The following is a 20,609-nucleotide window of genomic DNA, read 5'->3' as shown; positions in this document are numbered from 1 at the left end:
CAGTTTTAATAGTAATCTGAGGATTTATTTGTTTATTTTATAAGTATTATTCAAATCAATCCTCCTTTTTCTTTATCCAGTCTATCATTCATGGGCATTTGGATTGATTCCAAGTCTTTGCTATTATAAATAGTGCTGCAATAAACAAATGTGTGCATGTGTCTTTATAGTTCAAATAAGTCAAATTTCTATTTGGTCAAAGTTGACTAAATAATGATTTACAGACTGGAGTTAGAAGAATGTTATAGAGATGTTTGTCTTATGTTTAAGAAAGTAAGCAATTTCGAAGGATATGAACAGACACTTCTCAAAAGAAGACAGTTATGCGGCCAAGAAACATAGTAAAAAAGTTCATTGTCACTGGTCATTAGAGAAATGCAAATCAAAACCACAATGAGATATATCTCACACCAGTTAGAATGGGCGATTATTAGTAAGTCAGGAAACAACAGATGCTGGTGAGGGTGTGGAGAAATAGGAACACTTTTACACTGTTGGTGGGAGTGTAAATAGTTCAACCATTGTGGAAGTCAGTGTGGCGATTCTTCAAGGATCTAGAACCAGAAATACCAGTTGACCCAGCAATCTTATTAATGGGTATATACCCAAGGGATTATAAATATATGCACACATTTGTTTATTGCGGCACTATTTATAACAGCAAAGACTAGGAACCAACCCAAATGCCCATCAATGATAGATTGCATAAAGAAAATGTGGCACATATACACCATGGAATACTATGCAGCCCTAAAGAAGAATGAGTTCATGTCCTTTGCAGGGACATGGATGAAGCTAGAAGCCATCATTCCCAACAAACTAACACAGGAACTAACTCTCACTCCTAAGTGGGAGTTGAACAATGAGAACACATGGACACCGGGAGGGGAACATCACACACCAGGGCCTGGGGGCGGTGGGGGGCAAGGGGAGGGAGAGCATTAGGACAAATACGTAATGCATGCGGGGCTTAAAACCTAGATGACGGGTTGATAGGCATAGCAAACCACCATGGCACATGTATACCTATGTATCAAACCTGCATGTTCTGTACATGCATCCCAGAACTTAAAGCAAAATACAAACAAAAATATAAAAAATAAATAAAAGTCACTTTGACAAAAAGAGAAGTAAGCAATTTCATTATTATTATTATTATTATTTTATTTATTTTTTTGAGACGGAGTCTCACTCTGTTGCCCAGGCTGGAGTGCAGTGGCACGATCTCGGCTCACTGCAAGCTCTGCCTTCCATGTTCATGCCATCCTCCTGCCTCAGCTTCCCGAGTAGCTGGGACTACAGGCGCCCGCCACCATGCCCAGCTAATTTTTTGTATTTTTAGTAGAGATGGGGTTTCACCGTGTTAGCCAAGATAGTCTCGATCTCCTGACCTTGTGATCTGCCTGCCTCAGCCTCCCAAAGTGCTGGGATTACAGGTGTGAGCCACCACACCCGGCCAATATAAATATTCCTTACTATGTACTGATAGAGAAATACACATCAACAGATGGAATTGAAACAGCAGTAAGCCTTCTTTTGGAGAAAGTAGATGTGCACTAGTAAGATTTGATTTTCCTTAAAAATATATCCTAAATCTAGTTGGGCATGATGGCACACACCTGTAATCCCAGCACTTTGGGAGACCAAGGATGGTGGATTGCTTGACCTCAGTTGTTCAAGACCAGCCTGGACAAATGGCAAAACCCTGTCTTTACAAAAAATACAAAAATTAGCCAGGCATGGTGGCGTGCGCCTGCAGTCCCAGCTACTCAGGAGGCTGAGGTAGTAGAATTGCTTGAGCCCAGCAGGTTGAGGCTGCAGTGAGTGGAGATCATGCCATTACACTCCAGCCTAGGAGACAGTAAGACTCTGTATCAAAATATACATTGATATATATAATGTATCTATATATATCCTAAACCTAACCAAAGCTTACCACCCTCCAGCTCTAGTCACTGGACCCCCACACCGCTTAGCTTAGACCTGAACCCTGATGTGCGAGGAGATGGTGGTCTTTAACCAATGAATGCCACAGTGACTGAAGAGAGAGTGAAGCCGAGATTCTAATGTGTCACCCTGAAGTTTTATCCCAGACCTAGATCAGACAGAGGGAGGGACTGGTACCTCTCAAATTATGAAGCTTACGGTCCCCACTGCCCCAAGAGTATAGGAGTTCCCCCAACGGGCTGCCAGATCTCCATGCATTGTCTCAGAGTGGGATGGCAACAGGGAACCACAGTTTATCCATGCTCTTGCCTCTGAGCAAAACTGTCTGGAGAGCCCATTGTGGGTGTTGCATCATGTGCCCTTGCTTGCTTAATTGTCATAAGCAAAACATAAAAAGCTACCTCCCAAAAGAGTTCAGTATCTCATAGTACTCTTTTAAAAACAAAGCAAAACAAAAATGAGAATGATAGATAGAAAATAGAGAAAACCTGATGGGTTTTACTCAAGTGTATCTTGTGTGAGAATTGGAGATATAATATTAGTTAACTTTTCAGCCTATCCGTACATTTGCCCTGTCTGTGCTCTGTTTCAGTCTCCAGTTACCTGTGAGTCCTGCTCCCATTCCTTCCTCCTCCTTGAAGGTCTCATGAAGTGACAGAAGCTTGGATATGGAAGTCACATTGTATTAGTTTCCTATAGGTGCTATAACAAGGTGGCTTCAAACAACATACATTTACCGTGTTACAGTTCTGGAGGTCAGAGGATGAGCTAGTCTCACTGAACTAAAATCAAGGTGTGATCAGGGCTGCATTTCTTCTGATGCTTCCAGGGGAGAATATACTTCCTTGCCTTTTCCAGCTTGTGGAAGCTGCCTGCACTCCTTGGCTCATGACCCAAGTCATTCCGGCCTCTGTGTTCCTCATCATATCCCCTTCTCTAATTCTGACCCTTCCCCCTCCCTTTTTCAAGGACCCTGTGATTATATTGGACCCACCCTGATAATCCAAGAAAATCTCCCTATCTCAAGATCATTAATTTAATCACATCTGCAAGGTAACATACTCATAGGTTCCAGGGATTGGAACCTAGGCATCTTTGGGGAGGGGATCTTAATCTGCCTTTCACACACATGAGGGGCCACCCAGCCCACCCATGTGTCTAGTGCATGCATTCCTCTTCATGGTTCCTAGTGGTGGTTTTCTGGCTCATACTTGAATATTTGTATTGACCAAGAACACATCATCACATTTTCTCTCAAAATGACTTATGTTGGACCAATTTCCCTTTCTGCTTGGAACTTCAACATTTTAAAATTCAGTTAATTCTATTGTCTACCTCTTCCTTCTTGTGATGGGTTCTGAGTCCTTTCTTCATATTGTTTATGGTCTGGATGACACCATTTGTGTCTGTCTCTGTGTTGTAAAGATAGTCCCTAGAACTGTAATCAGTATTTCAAAACTGGTCTGAGAAATGCAAAGCAACACAGGACTACTACCTTCCTTGCTCAAGTCACTTCTCCTGACAAAGGCTGAATTGCAGTAGCTTATTTGATGGCCATTCTTACTGCATGGAATTACAGGTTTTCATAGGTAATGTGGGGTCACTGATAATACCTAGGGCACTATTCTTAATCCCTACACTTTAATTTCCTCATCTGCAAAATGGAAATGATAGTGCCTTTTTTATAAAGTTGATATGATAATTTAATGAGATGTTCTACTTCTAGCATTTTGCAAAGTACCCAGCACATAGTAGGTACTCAATAAAGTGTACTGCTGCTGCTGTTGCTACTAGGACTGTTACTACTGCCATCATCATTAACAACATCATCAACAGTAATCTAAGTTCACCTAAGTCATTTACACATTTTCTTTTTTAAAAAAACTAAAGGACAGGAAATTTTATTTGGTTCCATAACTCTTAACAAATATCCAGCTTGTGTGTGTGTGTATACGCAATACACGTGCACACACACACACACACACACACACACATACATGCATATATATAAAAAATAGATAAAGCCGCTGGGACAGTGTACAGTGGTTTACATGCTATGGTGATCATGCGCTGTATCCTTTATCCAAGACATTCATAAGACAGAAACAAGGATTACAGTTTTCAACTACTGACGGAAACTCTTACCCATCTAGGTCAAGCTGTTAATGGATCCATTTGACTGCAGTCACTGAACTCTTGAGTTTGTTCCCAATTTTGTGACCTTATCTTTATCTTGTCTACAGTAGTATTTTGAAAGGCCTTCATATGTGTAAAGGCTCCCTAGCCAGCAGGCCTGCTAAAGAGGAAGAAAGTGTGGTGCACATCAAATTTTTAGAGTAATAAACTTGAGAGGTATGAGGTGTTAATAAACATTGTCAGGGAAATAGCTTTTCACACGGGTGCTATGACTCCATTTCATACTGACTTGATGGTTTCTCTCTTAATTACCCAAGATGCTTTCTGAACACCATTTGGACTCATGAGTTTTCTCCAGAGTCAACCTCAAGTGTATTGATTTAATTAGCACTTGTTTCAACTTGATCCTTCTGCATATTTTGGCAAAACTTGGCACCTTGCAAAATTGGAACATAAGCAAGCTGTAAAATTCCTGGGGAGAGGCACATGGAGAATGTCGTCCAGGAGAAGTGTTCTTCTTGTCATGTATTCTCTTTTCAAAGAAATCTGGTTTTAGTCTAAAAGATTTGCAAAAGATAATGGGGTTACAGGGATAGTGACAGTTAAAGAATGGAAAATTAAAGCATACGTATGAGGGGTTTGATTTTGTGAACGTGTTAATTTCCGGAGGTTCTTTTGTAAGGCATAGAAACAGCATAATATAACAAAGTAGTGTTGTCTCTCCTACCACCTCTCATTTACCCACCTTTACCCTATTCTCATGTTAATAACAAAAACCTGAGACCCAGAGGTTTCTAATACCCTGTATAGACTGATGTCACACACCATAGCAGTAGCACAGACTAGAACCTGTATCTCCTTATTCTGATTGTCCTGTGAACCTAATGCCTTTAGTGTATTTGAATTCAGAATCTCTTTTGTAAAGAAGAGATAGGAGAATTCAGCTGTGTTATGAGCTAAACAGGCCTTGGGGACTGGCCTGAGAAGCTAATGCCCTTTGGAACCTTACTCCTTTGTCGAACACTGTAGCCTACTCAGGGTGCTCATCTTCTCATGAGGCCTTCTCTTATTACCCTGTTGAAAATTTTAACTCTCCCTCCATCCCCATTCAATACTCTGTATCCTCCTTCTCACTTTTATCCACAGTGCCTATTATCGCTCAGCATACTATATATTTTACTTATTTATGTATTTATTAAGGACTTACACCTGCTAGAATCAAGACTCTGGGGAAAGAATTTTTGCTGTATTCACTACTGAATCTTCCTGGCTTGGAATAATAGTATCTAGCATACAGGAGATGCTCAAGAAACATTCGTTGAATAAATACAGGTACATAGAAAAAGAATTTTGTGATGCTGGCAGTACATCCCTCATTTTCCCTCCTTTGGGCCTAGCCTACGGACAGAGGGAAACAGGTTACCTTGCAAACCTCCCTTATCACCTCTTGCCTTTGCTGGAGTCTGAGAGGCCACGTCCTTCCAGCAGATAACAGTGGAAAGCACCTTCCCAAGAAACACTTAGTCTTTATTTTGCAGGACAGTTAATCCCTGTGTGGTTTGGACAAGCTAATTACTCATTATAAGAAATTCCTAAGGTAACAACCCCTGTAGCTATACTTCCCATTAGTCAGTGTAGGTTTTATAGGCTATTTGTAGCAGAGCTACTTATTATGTGTCACTTACTCCAAGAAGCAAAAGAATTCTGCTGTTTTTAGCCAATATATTTTGCTCTAAAGTATCTTGATTTGAGTGTTGTTTTTTTTACCTGCCACATCTGTTCGTGGAAACATTATTGTCAAGAATTTCCTCCCAAACCTCTTGTTAAACTAGCATGTGCAGACCATTGTGTGTACCAGACCTATTTTTTGTTTGTTGAAGTCAGTTGATTTGCTGTTGATTCTATAATGGAATTGTTAAATAAATAACATCAAATGTGGGAGTAAAAAATATATGTAGTAATCAAGTGAAATAGAAAGTCTAATAAACATAAAATGTACTGGGCCATTCTCTAAAAATTAGTAATGGAAATAGTTAAAACAGAAAACTTTCAAAGCACACAAATATAATTTTTAAAGTGTTGAAATATGTTGCTTTTCTCCTGGACTTTAAGTTCATTGCCTTCCCAAGTTGGTTTGTATGAGCTGTATAAGAGTACTAGAAATTCATAAGCCAGAGACCTCTGTATTGTTTCCACTAATGTATGTTTTATAGACTCTTTGTAAAGGGTGACTAAGATGTAATTCTTTTTAGAACTTACCCAGTTTTTCTGTTTTATGGCCCACCTGTATCCTTGTCAGCCTAGGTCATTTGTAAATGATGCCATCATAAAAAGTTGGTCTTTATGGAGGAAGATGATCTGGCACACTGATATTCTCCCATGGTCCATGGTATTGAGGAACTAGGATACTTCCTTGTGCACACTTTGACGAAGAAGTTTTATAAAACTCCCAATTGTAGACATAGTTATATGGTTATTTTTCTTTCTAGTGATTTTCTTTCTTATGGGGAAATTTTTTATTAGAAAACAGAGTATTCAAGGTCAGGAGATCGAGACCACCCTGGCTAACAGGGTGAAACCCCATCTCTGCTAAAAATACAAAAGATTAGCCAGGCGTGGTGGCACGCACCTGTAGTCCCAGCTACTCGGGAGGCTGAGGCAGGAGAATGGTGGGAACCTGGGAGGCGGAGCTTGCAGTGAGCCAAGATCCCACCTCTGCACTCCAGCCTGGGCGACAGAGCGAGACCTCCCTTTTTTTTCTCAAAAAAAAAAGAAAAGAAAAAAGAAAACAGTATTACTTTTGATTTTTTCAAGTGTTTGAAATATGTGTTAAGTAAAAATAAATTCGACCTTGCCATCTCACCATTTACCTTTAAAAACTTTCTAGTTGTGCTTTGTTGACTTATTTCTCACTTCTCTATGCATTTATTATTTCCCGCTAGTTTAATTTTTATAAAAGAAGTAAAAGCATGCTGTTAGCACATTTGCCTAAGTTTGCTAGTTGGCATCAAATTTATCTTTTTTTATCTTGCAATAATAAGAAAGGGTTGAGATTTTTAAAAACTCAAGTTTTATAAATCACCAGTAGAGAAAAAATCGACAGTATATATGTACATAGAATGTGTCTATTTGAATATAGGGCCTTTCTCAATTGTTTTATAGCTTGATGATATGAAATATTAAGCCGAGTTTGTCTGTATGACGGAATTATTCTACATCTGTGTTCATAAAATGCTAATCTGGATTCTTCCAGCAGTGAGATCATTTTGTCCATGAATTTTGGAAAAGATTTAAGTTGTAATTGTACCCTTTACAGTCCTATTATTTTACTACATTTAGGTATTTCTCCTACCCTAAATTGCTATGACTATAAAGTAATAAGACTGGTTTCTCTGAGCCACCCCTGCTAGGCTGTCATTTTATAATCACACCTCATAAATAAAATGAGGGAAATATTGAAAAATGGTGAGACTTGACAATACCTTCCTACTTGGTCCCAGTATTCACCTCCTAGATGTAGAATTACAGTGTTTCTAATTCAGACTAGCAGAGGCTGGCTGTTATTCTTCTCAGATGTTGGCAGTAAGGGTGAGGACACTTTTATAAAAATGCAAATATATTTGTACTTTTATATGTATGTATAGCAGTATATTGTATAAACTAAAGTTTTTCTTGATAGAGCACTTTATTACATTTCCTCATATATATATAACATGGTTTTAATTTTCCTTTCCTTATAGGTGAAATGAGGAATGATTTATATATCACTATTGAAAGGGGAGAATTTGAGAAAGGAGGGAAGAGCGTGGCCAGAAATGTGGAAGTTACGATGTTCATTGTAGACAGTAGTGGCCAAACCCTGAAGGTATGTTAATACTTGATATTTCCAGGTCAAACAAGTCTGTATAATTGCTTTCACTTAATCTTTAATGTGATCAGTTATTTTCTGATTTACGATCAGTTAATTTCTGATTTGCGTTATTTTCTATCTTATTTTTCTCCTTCACCCCTGTGTAGTTTTCTTTCTTTTGTTTTTTAATTCACTAAAATTCCTTTCAGAAAAGAGAGCAGAAAAACGCAGTCTTCATGCTGAAGACAAGCCAGGAAAAAAAAACAACAACTTTTACAGTTTGCTTAATTCATTGTGTCAATAATTTTCTTACAGCAGCTATTACTTAAAAGCAGCTTTTTTTTTTTTTTTTTTTTTTTGAGACAGAATCTTATTCTGTCACCAGACTGGAGTGCAGTAGTATGATCTCCACTCATTGCAACCTCCCTCTTCCAGGTTCAAGCAATTCTCGTACCCCAGCCCTTCAAGTAACTGGGATTACAGGCGTGCGTAACCATGCCCAGCTAATTTTTGTATTTTTAGTAGAGACAGGGTTTCACCGTGTTGGCCAGGCTGGTCTCGAACTCCTGGCCTCAAGTGATCCTCCTGCCTTGGCTTCCCAAAGTGCTGAGATAAATGCAGCATATTTTTAAAGCCATTTCATTATTTAATTCTATATATTTTCTTTCTGACCAAAATAGGCATGAAGACTAGGGTACTACTTACTAATTGGGGTGAGAATAGCAGGTGTTTTTATGGAAGAAGTATTTTTCATGAGCCCCTTCTTCATAGAGACATACAGTTGCCCATTTAAATAAGAAGGTTGGCCCTGGGGCGTAGTGAGTCACCTACTGAGGCACAAAACAGGCTTTTGACTATGGCAGGTTGGGAACTTTACCATGTAGTTGAACTCCAAGTGGGCCATGCAATCGTCCATCTCCCACGTGTCACCCGGGTCTACCCTTGGCACAGTAAATCCTTGGAGACCAGCATCAGAATTAAATAGATACACCCCGCTAAGCAGCAGCAAGTACAGAAACACACGGCAAAGGCCCAGCGAGGTAATTTCATAGTGCTATTTGAGAGGCAGGCAGATAGAGCAAAGTGATTGCTCTGCCTTTTCAAAAGATCTTTAGATGAAGCTCTCTTTAACCTGTGTGTTCTTCCCTTTGTTAGGATTTTATCTCCTTCGGCTCTGGGGAGCCACCAGCCAGTGAGTACCACTCCTTTGTGCTTTACCATAACAACAGTCCCAGGTGGTCTGAACTGCTGAAACTTCCCATTCCTGTGGATAAATTCCGGGGTGCACACATCCGCTTCGAGTTTCGGCATTGTTCCAGTAAGTGTTTGGTGGCATTGGCTACCTGTGTCTATTGTGCTGGAGTATCCTGCTTACTGAGCTGTCATGAAGATGTGGGTTGATCTTAAGTTGATTACTTTTGTAAAAATCAGTTTGTTCCATTCTAGAAAGATTAGCCAGAAAGGGGAGGCACAGTGTTAAAAGCTAAACTGTTTCTGGTGGTCTTAGGCAACCCTAACCATTCTGGTATCTCCAGGAGCTGATCCAGCTCTCACACAGATTGGGGAAACCCACTAGGACTTTTCATGGCATGTGAAGCCACTGGGAAAGCCTTTGGCCAGTTCAGATGCATATCTGATTTGTGTGTATCTGCATCACTGTACTCTCTCAGACAGTATTCAGATGAGAATCAAATAATGTCAGCTGGAAAAAGACTTAGAAGTAACATGAAGTAATTGCCTCATTTTACAGATTTTTTTGTTTTGTTTCGAAGCAAAGCCTCACTCTGTTGCCCAGGCTGGAGTGCAGTGGCGCAATCTCAGCTCTCTGCAACTTCCGCCTCCCAGGCTCAAGCAATTCTCCTGTCTCAGCCTCCTGAGTAGCTGGGACTACAGGCGCCCGGCCACCACGCCTGGCTAATTTTTGTATTTTTATTACAGGCGGGGTTTCACCATATTGGTCAGGCTGGTCTTGAACTCCTGACCTCAGGTGATCCACCCGCCTCGGCCTCCCAAAGTGCTGGGATTATAGGCGTGAGCCACCACACCCGGCCTCATTTTACAGATCTCAACAACCCAAGACATAGAACTGTTACAGGGTTTGTCCACATGGGCATTGCTATCCATAAAGTTATCCCTTCTCAGTATTTCTATTTCCATTTTTTTGCATTCATTACCACCCTCTCAAGCCCCATCTCTCTCCCCCAACTACCCCCAGTCCAGGAATCTTCTGATATTCCTTGTGTCCCTGAGTATATCTTAGCACTGCCAGTGTACATTGTGACCAGAGAAAGTTTTGGTGAATCTAGCTTTGGGAGCAGTACAACAAACGAGAGATACAGGAGAATCACATTTTTGAAGAAGCAGCAGGCTCTCTTCCAGTCTGGAAGGAATAGGGGCTTTGCCAAAAGATTTGTGGTGAATTTACCACAGTGATGTTGTATTTTACCCAAGGTTCAGGCAGAGAAGGAGGACTTTATCTTTTGCTGGAACTATGGCATATTTCAGAATTGACTCAAGAGCTTCATACATTATGCTTGTGTGGATGTATCTGAATGCAGGAAGAGAGCTAGCAGGGTCTTAAAATTCTTCCAAATTCCCAGAAGAGTTTCATGTAAAGGACTTGAAGTAGGAAAACATAAAGGACTTAGAATGGTGCCATACTATTTCTTCCATCAATCTTTGTTATGAATTCTCACTGGGGTCTAATATGAGGTCTGAGCTTTAAGGTAAGAAAAAGAGAAAATAAAGGTGAAATAGTGGGGAAAGAGAGAAAGAGCATTTGGAGGTAATTATTCGAATTCAGAACTTGGAAAGTAAAATAAAGGCTATTTTCAGTAAAATCTATTGGATCTCTACCTTCTTGTCCCTGTACTGCAAAAATTCCTCATAGGTTTTTTCTTTTAATCTTCATAATTAAAAGTCAGAAGAAACAGCAAAATGTAAAGAAGAAGGAAAAAATCTTGATAATACCACAAACTATGAATAACCAATGCAATCATTTTATAAAGTGGGCTTCCAAATATTTATCTGTGTGTTCATATATTTATTCAAAAACATCAGTTATTCATGAAACAAATATTTGTTGAACACCCACTATATGCCAAGCATTTTACTGGGTACTGGAGACACATCAGTGAGCACAAGAAAATAGCCCCGCTCACAGAGCTTTCATTCCAGAGAGGAAAGACAGATAATAGCTGAGAAACTAAGTACATAGTACATCAGATAGCAAGTGATGAAGTGCAGTGAAGACTTAAATTGCAGCTAGGGAGTAGAAAGTGATGGTACTGTGTTGCTATTTTACACAGGGCAGTCAGGAAAGACTTCGCTTATAAGGACATGTGTTGGCAACAAACTAAAAGAAGTGAAGGCCTGAGCCATTGAGACTATTCTGTCTGGGGAAAGAAGATTCCAGGCAGAGAGGACAGTACAAAAGGCTTGAGGTTGAAATATGCTTGGCCTTTTCAAGGAATAGCAAGGAGACCAGGAAGGTAGCAGAGGTGCCAGATCTTGTATAGTCTTTTATTTCATGATGAGGACTGTGCATTTTATTTGAATTGAGAAGAACCACGAGAGGATTTGGAGTGAAGATACGTCTGGCTACTGTATGGGATAATAGATTATAGGTAATATGGTTGGGAACAGAAAGACCATTTGGGAAGCTTTTTTTAGTCTTCCAAGTAAGAGATTTAAAGTGTTCTGCATTACGATGGTAATGGTTCAGTTCTTTTTTACAGAATATTAACAGATTGGATCTGAAAGAAGGAGAAAAGTCCAGGGTAACCCAAAGATGTCGGCCTGAGAATGAAGTGATCATTTAATTAAGTGGGGAAGACAACAGGGAGAATCTGTTTGGGGAACAAAAATCGAACATTGCATTTTAGACATGTTAAATCAGAGATATCTGTTAGACACTCAAGATGTCAAGTGGGCAGTTGAGTAACGTCCAGTTTGGAAACTTGGGAATGAGAACATACAGTTCAGTGGTTGGTCTACTGAGCCAGCACTGGGGGGTGGGGAGGATCCCTGAACTGTAGCATTTGCTGATTTCCATGGTGTAGATACTCCCACTATGTCCAATTTCAAGCTTCCAACATGACATCACTGAGTGTAGAACTGGGGAGAGATGTGCACTCTCAGCTCTTACGGGCCAGTATGATCCAGCTCCAGCACATCACTAATTTTGATGATTTCTAAAGTCTGAGACTGATTGGAGTTCCTAGGTAGTAAGTTTAGATAGCAAAGGGGAGTCGAAGGATGGGTCTCTGGGGTACTTGCCATATTTAGAGCTGGGAGGATGAGAAGGAGGCATTAAATGACATTAAGAAAGACTATCTAGTAGGTTGAAGGCCAATGCAGGAAGAAGAGAACCCAGGAGCTAAATGAAGGCAGTTTTTTAAGAGAGGATTGATCACATGTGTCAGGTGCCAGTGGTAGTTCAAATAAGATGAGGACGAATAATTTGATTTGGCATCATGGAACTCATTGAACCTGACAAGTGGTTTTAGTGAATCTGTGGTAGTAAATGTGAGTTAAAGAATGAGATGGAGGGGGAAAAGGGGGAGTAATGGGTATAGACAAATCTTTTGAGAAGTTTTGCTATAAAGGATACAAGAGCTATGGTCATGCGTAGGAAGACTCAATGTCGTCAAGATGTCAGTTGTTCTTAAATGAACCTGTAGATTCAAGTTCCTGTATTATCATTGATGTGGAAATCTCTTCCCAGAGATCTTTGGTGTGATTTTTGCTTGACTTTTTAAAAAACATGAATTATTTTTCCAGTTTCTCTATGGGGTTGAAATTAATGATTTTAAAAGAAAGTCCTTTGCTATAATTACATTTTCAGGGATGTCCTCATATTAGGGACCAGCACCAGCCAGACAAAATTACCGTTTTCTGCATGAGGCTCCACTTCCCTGTGCTTAAATGCCTGGAGCAATTAAATGCTGTGTTGCTAACCTTCTTGTCCAGTCTTCAGGATCACCATACCTAACTCCTCCAGCTCAGATCTTACTGCATCCCAAAGTTGAACTTGTCTGTTCAAGTATAATGCTCCACTTGTGAAAGAGTAACCATCCAGCCCTTAACAGGCTGCTGGCTCTGGAGAACTCTGCCCATCTAAGTACAAGGGGAGAGTCAAGTTAACCAAAGAAGGTTCTGTTAATGCTTTCTCCATTTTTGGAGGAAAAAAAAAAAAAAAAAAACCTTGGTGGAAAGAACTGGAATGGTACTTAAGAGATCTACAACAAGTTACCTAACATCTATGACCTCAATTTCCCTATCTATAAATAATTACTAATGATCCTTGGCATTTCTAGCTATTGTAATTCTTAATTAGGCATCTGAAAACCTCATCGCCTCATTTCCGGCTTCCAGAGTAGTGAGCTCTTGTTAAACTATAGGTTTAATATTCATATTGTCTTTCAACGTGCCTAACTTATTCCAAGGAGGTAACTGCAACAGGACTTACTTTCCTTACGTGTGTGGATATAGGGAAAGAAGTTCTGTCATGGACCAGGGTAGAGCTTAGAGATTCCCTTTTGATGGGTAGTAATCAAAACAAACCATTTCACTTTCATTCATTCACTTGTTCATTCATTTATCATATATTTATTAAGCACCTACTATGTTCCTAGCACTCTTTGAAACAATAAACAGATAAGACCCCTGCCCTCAATGGGACTTTGGGGTAAAAAGAAGAAACAGGCAATCCACAAATTTTTTAAAAAGCAATTTCAGATAGTGATTCCCATAAAGAAAATTAGGCAAGAAATGTAAGTTGCAGATAAGGGGGCAGGAAGAGGGGATTAGAGGGTGGCTGCTCTATATAGATGGCCTATCAGAAAAGCTGTGCTGCATTGTGTAGTGGGAACTGTTGTGTATGAGTTATATTTCTCGATGATTATGCTTCTTGACAAACTATGTACCTGAACATAGATACACTTAAATAAGCAAGTAATTTGTTTTTTACAGCAAAGGAGAAAGGAGAGAAGAAGTTGTTTGGGTTTTCTTTTGTCCCTCTGATGCAAGAAGATGGTAGGACTCTTCCAGATGGCACTCATGAGCTCATCGTGCATAAGGTAACATCAGTCAGATGGTGGCGATGGGCAGTAAAAAACAGTGCTGAAATAACACCTCACTATCTTATCATTTTGAAAAGAGAAAAAAATGACTGAAATGAATATTCTTGTAAGATTGCTGTCAGGGAGAATGTCTTTTTCAAAGTATTGTTTCTATATTGGGTTATATTTTAGAACATATTTTAGAGATGATTTATGTTTTCATCCTAATTTAGGGGTGGATGTTTGGGTAAACCTGTGTATTGTTCTTAAAGTTCTTTCCATTGCTGTGATAGGGTTAAGTAAACCTTACAAATAACTTTTTAAATACTACATTACGCGCTTTCTTATCTAGGTCTGTGTATCCCCAGAAGTAAATTTAGCAAGGTCAGCATTGCTTTTTTTTGTCTGCTATTGTTACTAAGCAGGCAGAGAAGTGGCTGTATTTCATCATGACAACTTTAGCAGTTCTTATAAATCAAGAATTGTCATAAAAAACATTTGGAACAAAGTGTATTGTAGTAGGCAACAAAAGAAAGCTTGCAAAGGAGAACCCCTTGTAATTATCTGAGAATACTAGTAATAATGAACTATAGGGTAAAAAATGTATTTTTAAGTGCACAGGCAATTTTCTCCAAAATATTCCTCCTTTGCATTTCTCCATTTCTATAACTGTGTAATAGTGAGGCCCTTATCAACTCTCACCTATGATAACTGGTCCTGCTGACCTGGGTCTTGTCTCCCTCTAGCCCAGACATTAGGGTCACTCATCTAAGGAGCAGATCCAGCCATGTCACTTCCCAGCTTAAGACCCATTCAAAAGCTTCTTGCTGAGAGAATAAATCCCAGGCATCTCAGGGCATGCCAGCCTTCTACCTCCCTACTGCCTCACTCCTCACCACTTCCGGCCTCTTGATGCTACAACCACATCCAGCACATTCTGGTTCTTCACCCTCTGCTGCTGGCTCTTTCTGCTCTTCCCTTGCCTTGTGGCTCCTGGAGTCAGCCTTCCCCTGCCTCTCCCTCTGAGTGTCTTCTGCTCATCCCTGGAGGCTCACCTGGGCCATAACCTCCCTCAGAAACTGTCCCCTGCTTCCTGGCCCAATTCATATTCTCAGCTGGCCAGTTGCCCTTCCCTGAGCTCCCTGGTATCTGCACACATCTCTTACCATTGTTCTCATCACACTGTCCCAGAACTATCTGTTGATCCCTCAGCTTGCCCCATTAGATTTATGAGCCCCTCGAGAACAACAGCTATGTAAAGGGATTCTGGCCTGTGATAGATGTTCAGTGAAGATTATTGAATGAATAAGAGATTACAAGCAAAAACTTTCTTTGGATTGCTAGTTAAATGAGAGGCAACATATAACACACCTGGTATTTTCTTTTTTTCTTTTTTCTTTTTTTTTTTGAGATGGAGTCTTGCTCTGTCGCCCAGGCTGGAGTGCAGCGGCACAATCTTGACTCACTGCAAGCTCTGCCTCCCGGGTTCACACCATTCTCCTGCCTCAGCCTCCTGACTAGCTGGGACACCAGGCACCCGCCACCATGCCCGGCTAATTTTTGTATTTTTAGTAGAGACGGGGTTTCACCGTGTCAGCCAGGATGGTCTCTATCTCCTGACCTCGTGATCCGCCCACCTCAGCCTCCCAAAGTGCTGGGATTACAGGCGTGGGCCACTGCGCCCAGCCCACACCTGGTATTTTCTATTTTTATAGAATGTATATTTCATTGTCTATTTCTTTAATCATTCATTTTCTCATTATTTGTTCAACATGTTTATTGACCACAGACTACAGCCAGGTACTGTTCTAGGTGCTGGGAAAATAGTGGCAAACAAAACAGCCAAATCCTTCTGTTTCTGGCCTTTACGTTCTCTCTTCATAAAGTAATCTAAAAGAGCTAACAAAGCTAAAGGTGTTAAAATAGAAAGAAACAAAAATATTTTAAAGCATAGTAACCAGAAAAGCAAACAGAGGAACTACATATACTAGACTGCGGGGATGATCTATTTATCTCAGCTTTAGGTCTGAGGCTGCCCGATAAGATATATAATATAACAGGCAATGTCTTGAGCTTCAATTTTCGAAAACATAAATGGTACTTCATATAAATGTCTTTGTAACATTAAATCTTAGCTCAGAAAAGATAAGGCTGAGATAACTAAGACTGGGCTCCCCGTTTCCTCATGATATGTAAAAGAATGAATCACTTCTACATAGTATATCCCATCTGGACCCTGTCACCTATGGGTCTGAGGGTGTGTCTTTGGCAGTGCTAGCTTTCCAGTCAAGTCCTGGTTGACTTCTCTTCGTGAGCGTGAACCATACCAAGATTCTCAGTTGCTGATTAGAAACATGCATATGCTTAAAATGCCAGAGGACAGGTAGCAGAGCTCGCTTCTCCATGTGAACATTTAGGAGTCAAACAGGTATTAATTCCTAGACAGAGTCCTGTCCAGGTGCCTGTCGTCAGGGCCAAAACTTTTCTCAAAAATAGGACTTTGACTCAGTTGTAGCTCTTCCACAAAGATTGACTTAGTACTAAGAATCCTAATCCATAAAGGGAAATTTATTTGAGCATGAAAATTGTGACCTCAACCACAAGAGAAACTCAGTATGGTATGTGTAGGCTGTCTAATTTGGGGCAGACCTACATTGTATAGCTCCATCAGGAAGCATTTGCTCCACAGAAAAAACCCCAAGTAGCTGAGTTTTCTTATGAATAGGGTTATTTAGTATTTCTTATTTACAGAGTTGTGAAATACTTGCCAAGTATAACAACTTTTATTTTTATTTCTCATACTACTGAGCCAACAAATTCAGTTTCAGCTTATGGCCACTTGTAGTTTATGATTATGAAACCATATTACCAGCATAATACATAATCCTTCTTCTGCCACGACAGGAAAGCACACAGCCTGCTGATCATTGTGCGGCCTTGAATTCAGTATTTAAAAAGAAACGTGGAGAGAGAAGTGTATTTCAAATTATGAGCTAAAAGTATAGCCCATTTAATAAGTGGTGTTGAGATAAATAAAATGGGTATTAGGGGAAGTGGGGAAGAGCTGGATTCCTACCTTCCTCTTATTGCGAAAACACATTCCAGATTGAATGTAAGAAATAAAACTGGGCCTGGCACAGTGGCTCATGCCTGTAATCCCAGCACTTTGGGAGGCCAAGGCTGGTGGATCACCTGAAGTTAGGAATTCAAGACCAGCCTGGCCAACATGGTGAAACCCTGTCTCTACTAAAAATCAAAAAAGTTAGTCCAGCGTGGTCATGGGTGCCTGTAATCCCAGCTACTTGGGAGGCTGAGGCAGGAGGATTGCTTGAACCCAGGAGGCGGAGGTTACAGTGAGCCGAGATCATGCCATTGCACTCCATCCTGGGCAACAGGAGTAAAACTCAGTCTCAAATCAATCAATCAATCAATAATCAATCTGTACGAGCCTTAAAAATACGGATGAACATTCTTATAATCTACAGGTGAGAAGGGCCTTTCTAAGGATGTCTCAAATGTTAGAAATCAAATTTAAAAATCAAGTAAATTTGGCTACATAAAATTTAAGATATTTATTGATAAAACAGTCATAATCTAGGCTGAAACACATTTCAAACTGAAATATAGTTGCAACACAGCTTGTAAAGAGTTGCTTTATAACCCCATAGGTAACCCTTATAAAGGGTTGCTATTCCTGACTGACCAAGAGTTATCACAAATCAGTAAGAAAAGGAAAAATTGATAAATGCTACAAAGACTATTTAAAAATAATAAATGCAAATGTATAAAATAAAAGCATGAATAAGTAAAGAAATCCGTTTAAGTTAAAAAATTTGAAACCTTTTTGCCTATCAGATTGGCAGAGATTTTTAAAGCCCAGAATTGGAGAGCAAGGTTAAGGGAAAACAGTCTCATGCATTTATAGAAGAAATATGAACACTGTTGTGTTTCTGGAGGGCAGTTTGGCAATACGTAGATAAATTTTAAATGTGTATATCCTTCAACTCAGCCATCCCACACATGTTGGTATTTTTTGGAAGAAGATAATAAGACAAGGTGAGCAAAGGTGATTCAAGGATGATCACTGCAGATTGCTTAAAATATGGAAAACATGGAAGTAATTTAAATTGCCAATAACATAGATCTGATTAAATTTAGTTATACCCGTACAGTGAATGAAATACTATATAGGTGGAAATAATGTTTACAGGATAATTTTATATGCATGGAAAAGTGCTTATTGTTAATACTTTATACATGCATATATTTAGTATAATACCATTTTTATAAAATTGCTTAACTGTATGTTCTTATGTGTATATGTGCATACAGAGATGCTTGGAATGATATCCTTAAATATTAATGACTTTTTATTTTCATATTGCTTAAATTTTTTGTTAGTGGACAAGTGTTATTTTATAATATTAATAATTTTTTTTTCATTTTGACCAAACAAAAATAGGAAGAGACAGAAATTTAAACTTAGCCTTGTTTTATACTATTTAATTCTGGACTTTTATGTAAGTGAAGACCATTCTTCTGTCATATAATCTTGACAGTAATGTTTATGGTAAGGTTTTGAAGGAACATTAATTGTCTTGGATTTTTATAAACCATGTTCTGTGTCATTCATTGGCAGGTACTGCCCATGATGTCAAAGGTTGATGAGAGATGAAAAAAAACTGCGTTAAAAATGTGTCTTTAAATCTGTCTTGGAGATATGATACAGAGAATAGCTCTGGTTTGTAGTAGAGTATTGGTTAAAACCTACTTGCTCTTCATGTAAAGTATTAGTTTAAAAGACTCAATCCTGCAGTGAGCTAAGAAGAAATCTGCTGTGTTGAAGGCTATTAGTATCCTAATTTAGGCCTTAAATTTGTGAGGTAGTTTCCCTTTGTAGCAATGGCTGGACTTCACTTCTCAATGTGTTCTAAAGAAACCGTTCTTACCGAGCTGTTATAGTAAATACTTTGTCAAGGACCTGGACTCACCTTTTAGGCAGGGTCTAAGGAATCCTAAGGGAAAAGGTCATTTTCAACATCACTTGATTGATTACATATTTAGAGTGGTTTCCAATGTAAATAAACTCTGAAATCTATAAAAATTTGCATATCATTAGCTCTAGGAGAATAAGTAAAATAACTTAGTTATCATTAGAGATTTTGTCCTTCCAGAGCCCCCAGAACATCAGTGATATCTCCAAATGGCTGACAGATAAGCCTAAAAATTCCCTTTGGAATTGCTAGTTCGCTAATAACCATATTTAATCTTAAGTTTTGGTATTTCATTCTATTAGAATTATTGTCTTCCTTAACTTTGTAGGAATGTATTTGGCTAAGCTTCTTCAGCTACCTGCTGGAAAGTAAGTTAAGAAAAAAGAATTAAGAAAAAGTTAAGAAAAGAGAATGAAGCAAAAAATAAAATAAAAAAGAATGAGTAGAAGCAAATTTGTTCTCCAAAAGTCAAATCTCTTGAGGAGATTGATGAGAGAATCCAAAAAGAGGGGCCTAGGAAGACAGTAACTATGTGCTCAAGTCCCCATTCATTCTGACTCACTGTAATGGAGGAGTTTTAGTCACTGGAAGTACATTCGGAAACACCCTCAGGTCCAGTAAGAAAATAGTAATAATACCGTCTGCCTTGGAGAAGTTGGGGTTTTGTAAATTCATCACTGTTGATTGTCAAGAACCACCATGGCAGAAGTGCCCAACTCAAACAAGCTAGAGTTTTGCTTAGTAGAGAATCTGCTTCCTGTAGCGGGGTTTATTGGCTTCCTAATCCAAGGCATTCAAGAAGGAAAAGAGCCAGGTACAAAGTCAGCCAAATAGAAGGTGATGCTGTTTCCTGGTTGGAGAGGGATTAATTTAATATGATGACATAGACAGTAAAAGTCTATTGTGGAGTAACTTATTTCACCTTTGTTACCTAAAAATTTGTCCATAAACCCTTTGTGGCCCACATTTTTCTCTACAAGTTTTCAGGTTCTTATGCTATATCCTAGTCCCTAACTTGGTCCATAGTAGTCCAACAAATACACTTCACTGGCCACTACCTTTGAGATGGACTTCTCAAATCCAGGTAGAAGCTACTGTTCTCTGCTTATCTCAAACTTCAGTGTAGCCTTTTCCTGTAGTATGTTTGCATTCATAAGTAAAATGAAAAGATGAGGGGAATCTGAAAATTTAGGTAGACTGACAGGATTGCAATCTAGCCTGCTGCCCAGTGAACCCCATATGCTCCCCAGTGAACCCCATATGCTCCCCCAACTCTTCTAAAAGACTTACCCTATAACCATAATCTATAAATCTTAGACAAGCCAGGAACATATCTGTCTTCCCCAGGCTTTGGTATAGAAGAATTGATCACTTGACTGATACTTCATTCATTACATGCTGTGAGAGAAATTAAAAAACATCTGCAACATTTTAAAATAAATAACCTGGTAAGTTTAGTATAAAAACATATCAAGCTGAACACATAAGCTGAACAGTGGGGGGAAAACACTAAGCTATCTTAATAGGTAGACTTAGTCCTAGCACTTAGGGATAGTTAAGTGACCTGCAGAAAGCCCCTTCAATGCTAACCAGTTCATACTGCTACATCTTCAGCTCTCC

The 20,609-nt window shown here is 39.3% G+C and overlaps 1 protein-coding gene across 14 annotated transcripts in view; it reads left to right on the top strand.

Annotated features, from left to right (window-relative positions):
• Nucleotides 1–20,609, top strand: part of DOCK4 (dedicator of cytokinesis 4) — a 480,290-nt gene that overhangs the window by 296,775 nt on the left and 162,906 nt on the right. For all 14 annotated transcript variants that reach the window (XM_047421081.1, NM_014705.4, XM_006716189.3 and 11 more), the window contains exons 14-16: nt 7,824–7,948; nt 9,089–9,251; nt 13,907–14,013. In XM_047421081.1, coding sequence (XP_047277037.1) covers nt 7,824–7,948; nt 9,089–9,251; nt 13,907–14,013 — 395 coding nt within the window. The remainder of the gene's footprint in view (nt 1–7,823; nt 7,949–9,088; nt 9,252–13,906; nt 14,014–20,609) is intronic.

The sequence above is a fragment of the Homo sapiens genome, chromosome 7, assembly GCF_000001405.40.
Source record: "Homo sapiens chromosome 7, GRCh38.p14 Primary Assembly".
NCBI classification, from domain to species: Eukaryota; Metazoa; Chordata; class Mammalia; order Primates; family Hominidae; genus Homo; species Homo sapiens.
This window is presented reverse-complemented; position numbering and strand designations above follow the sequence as displayed.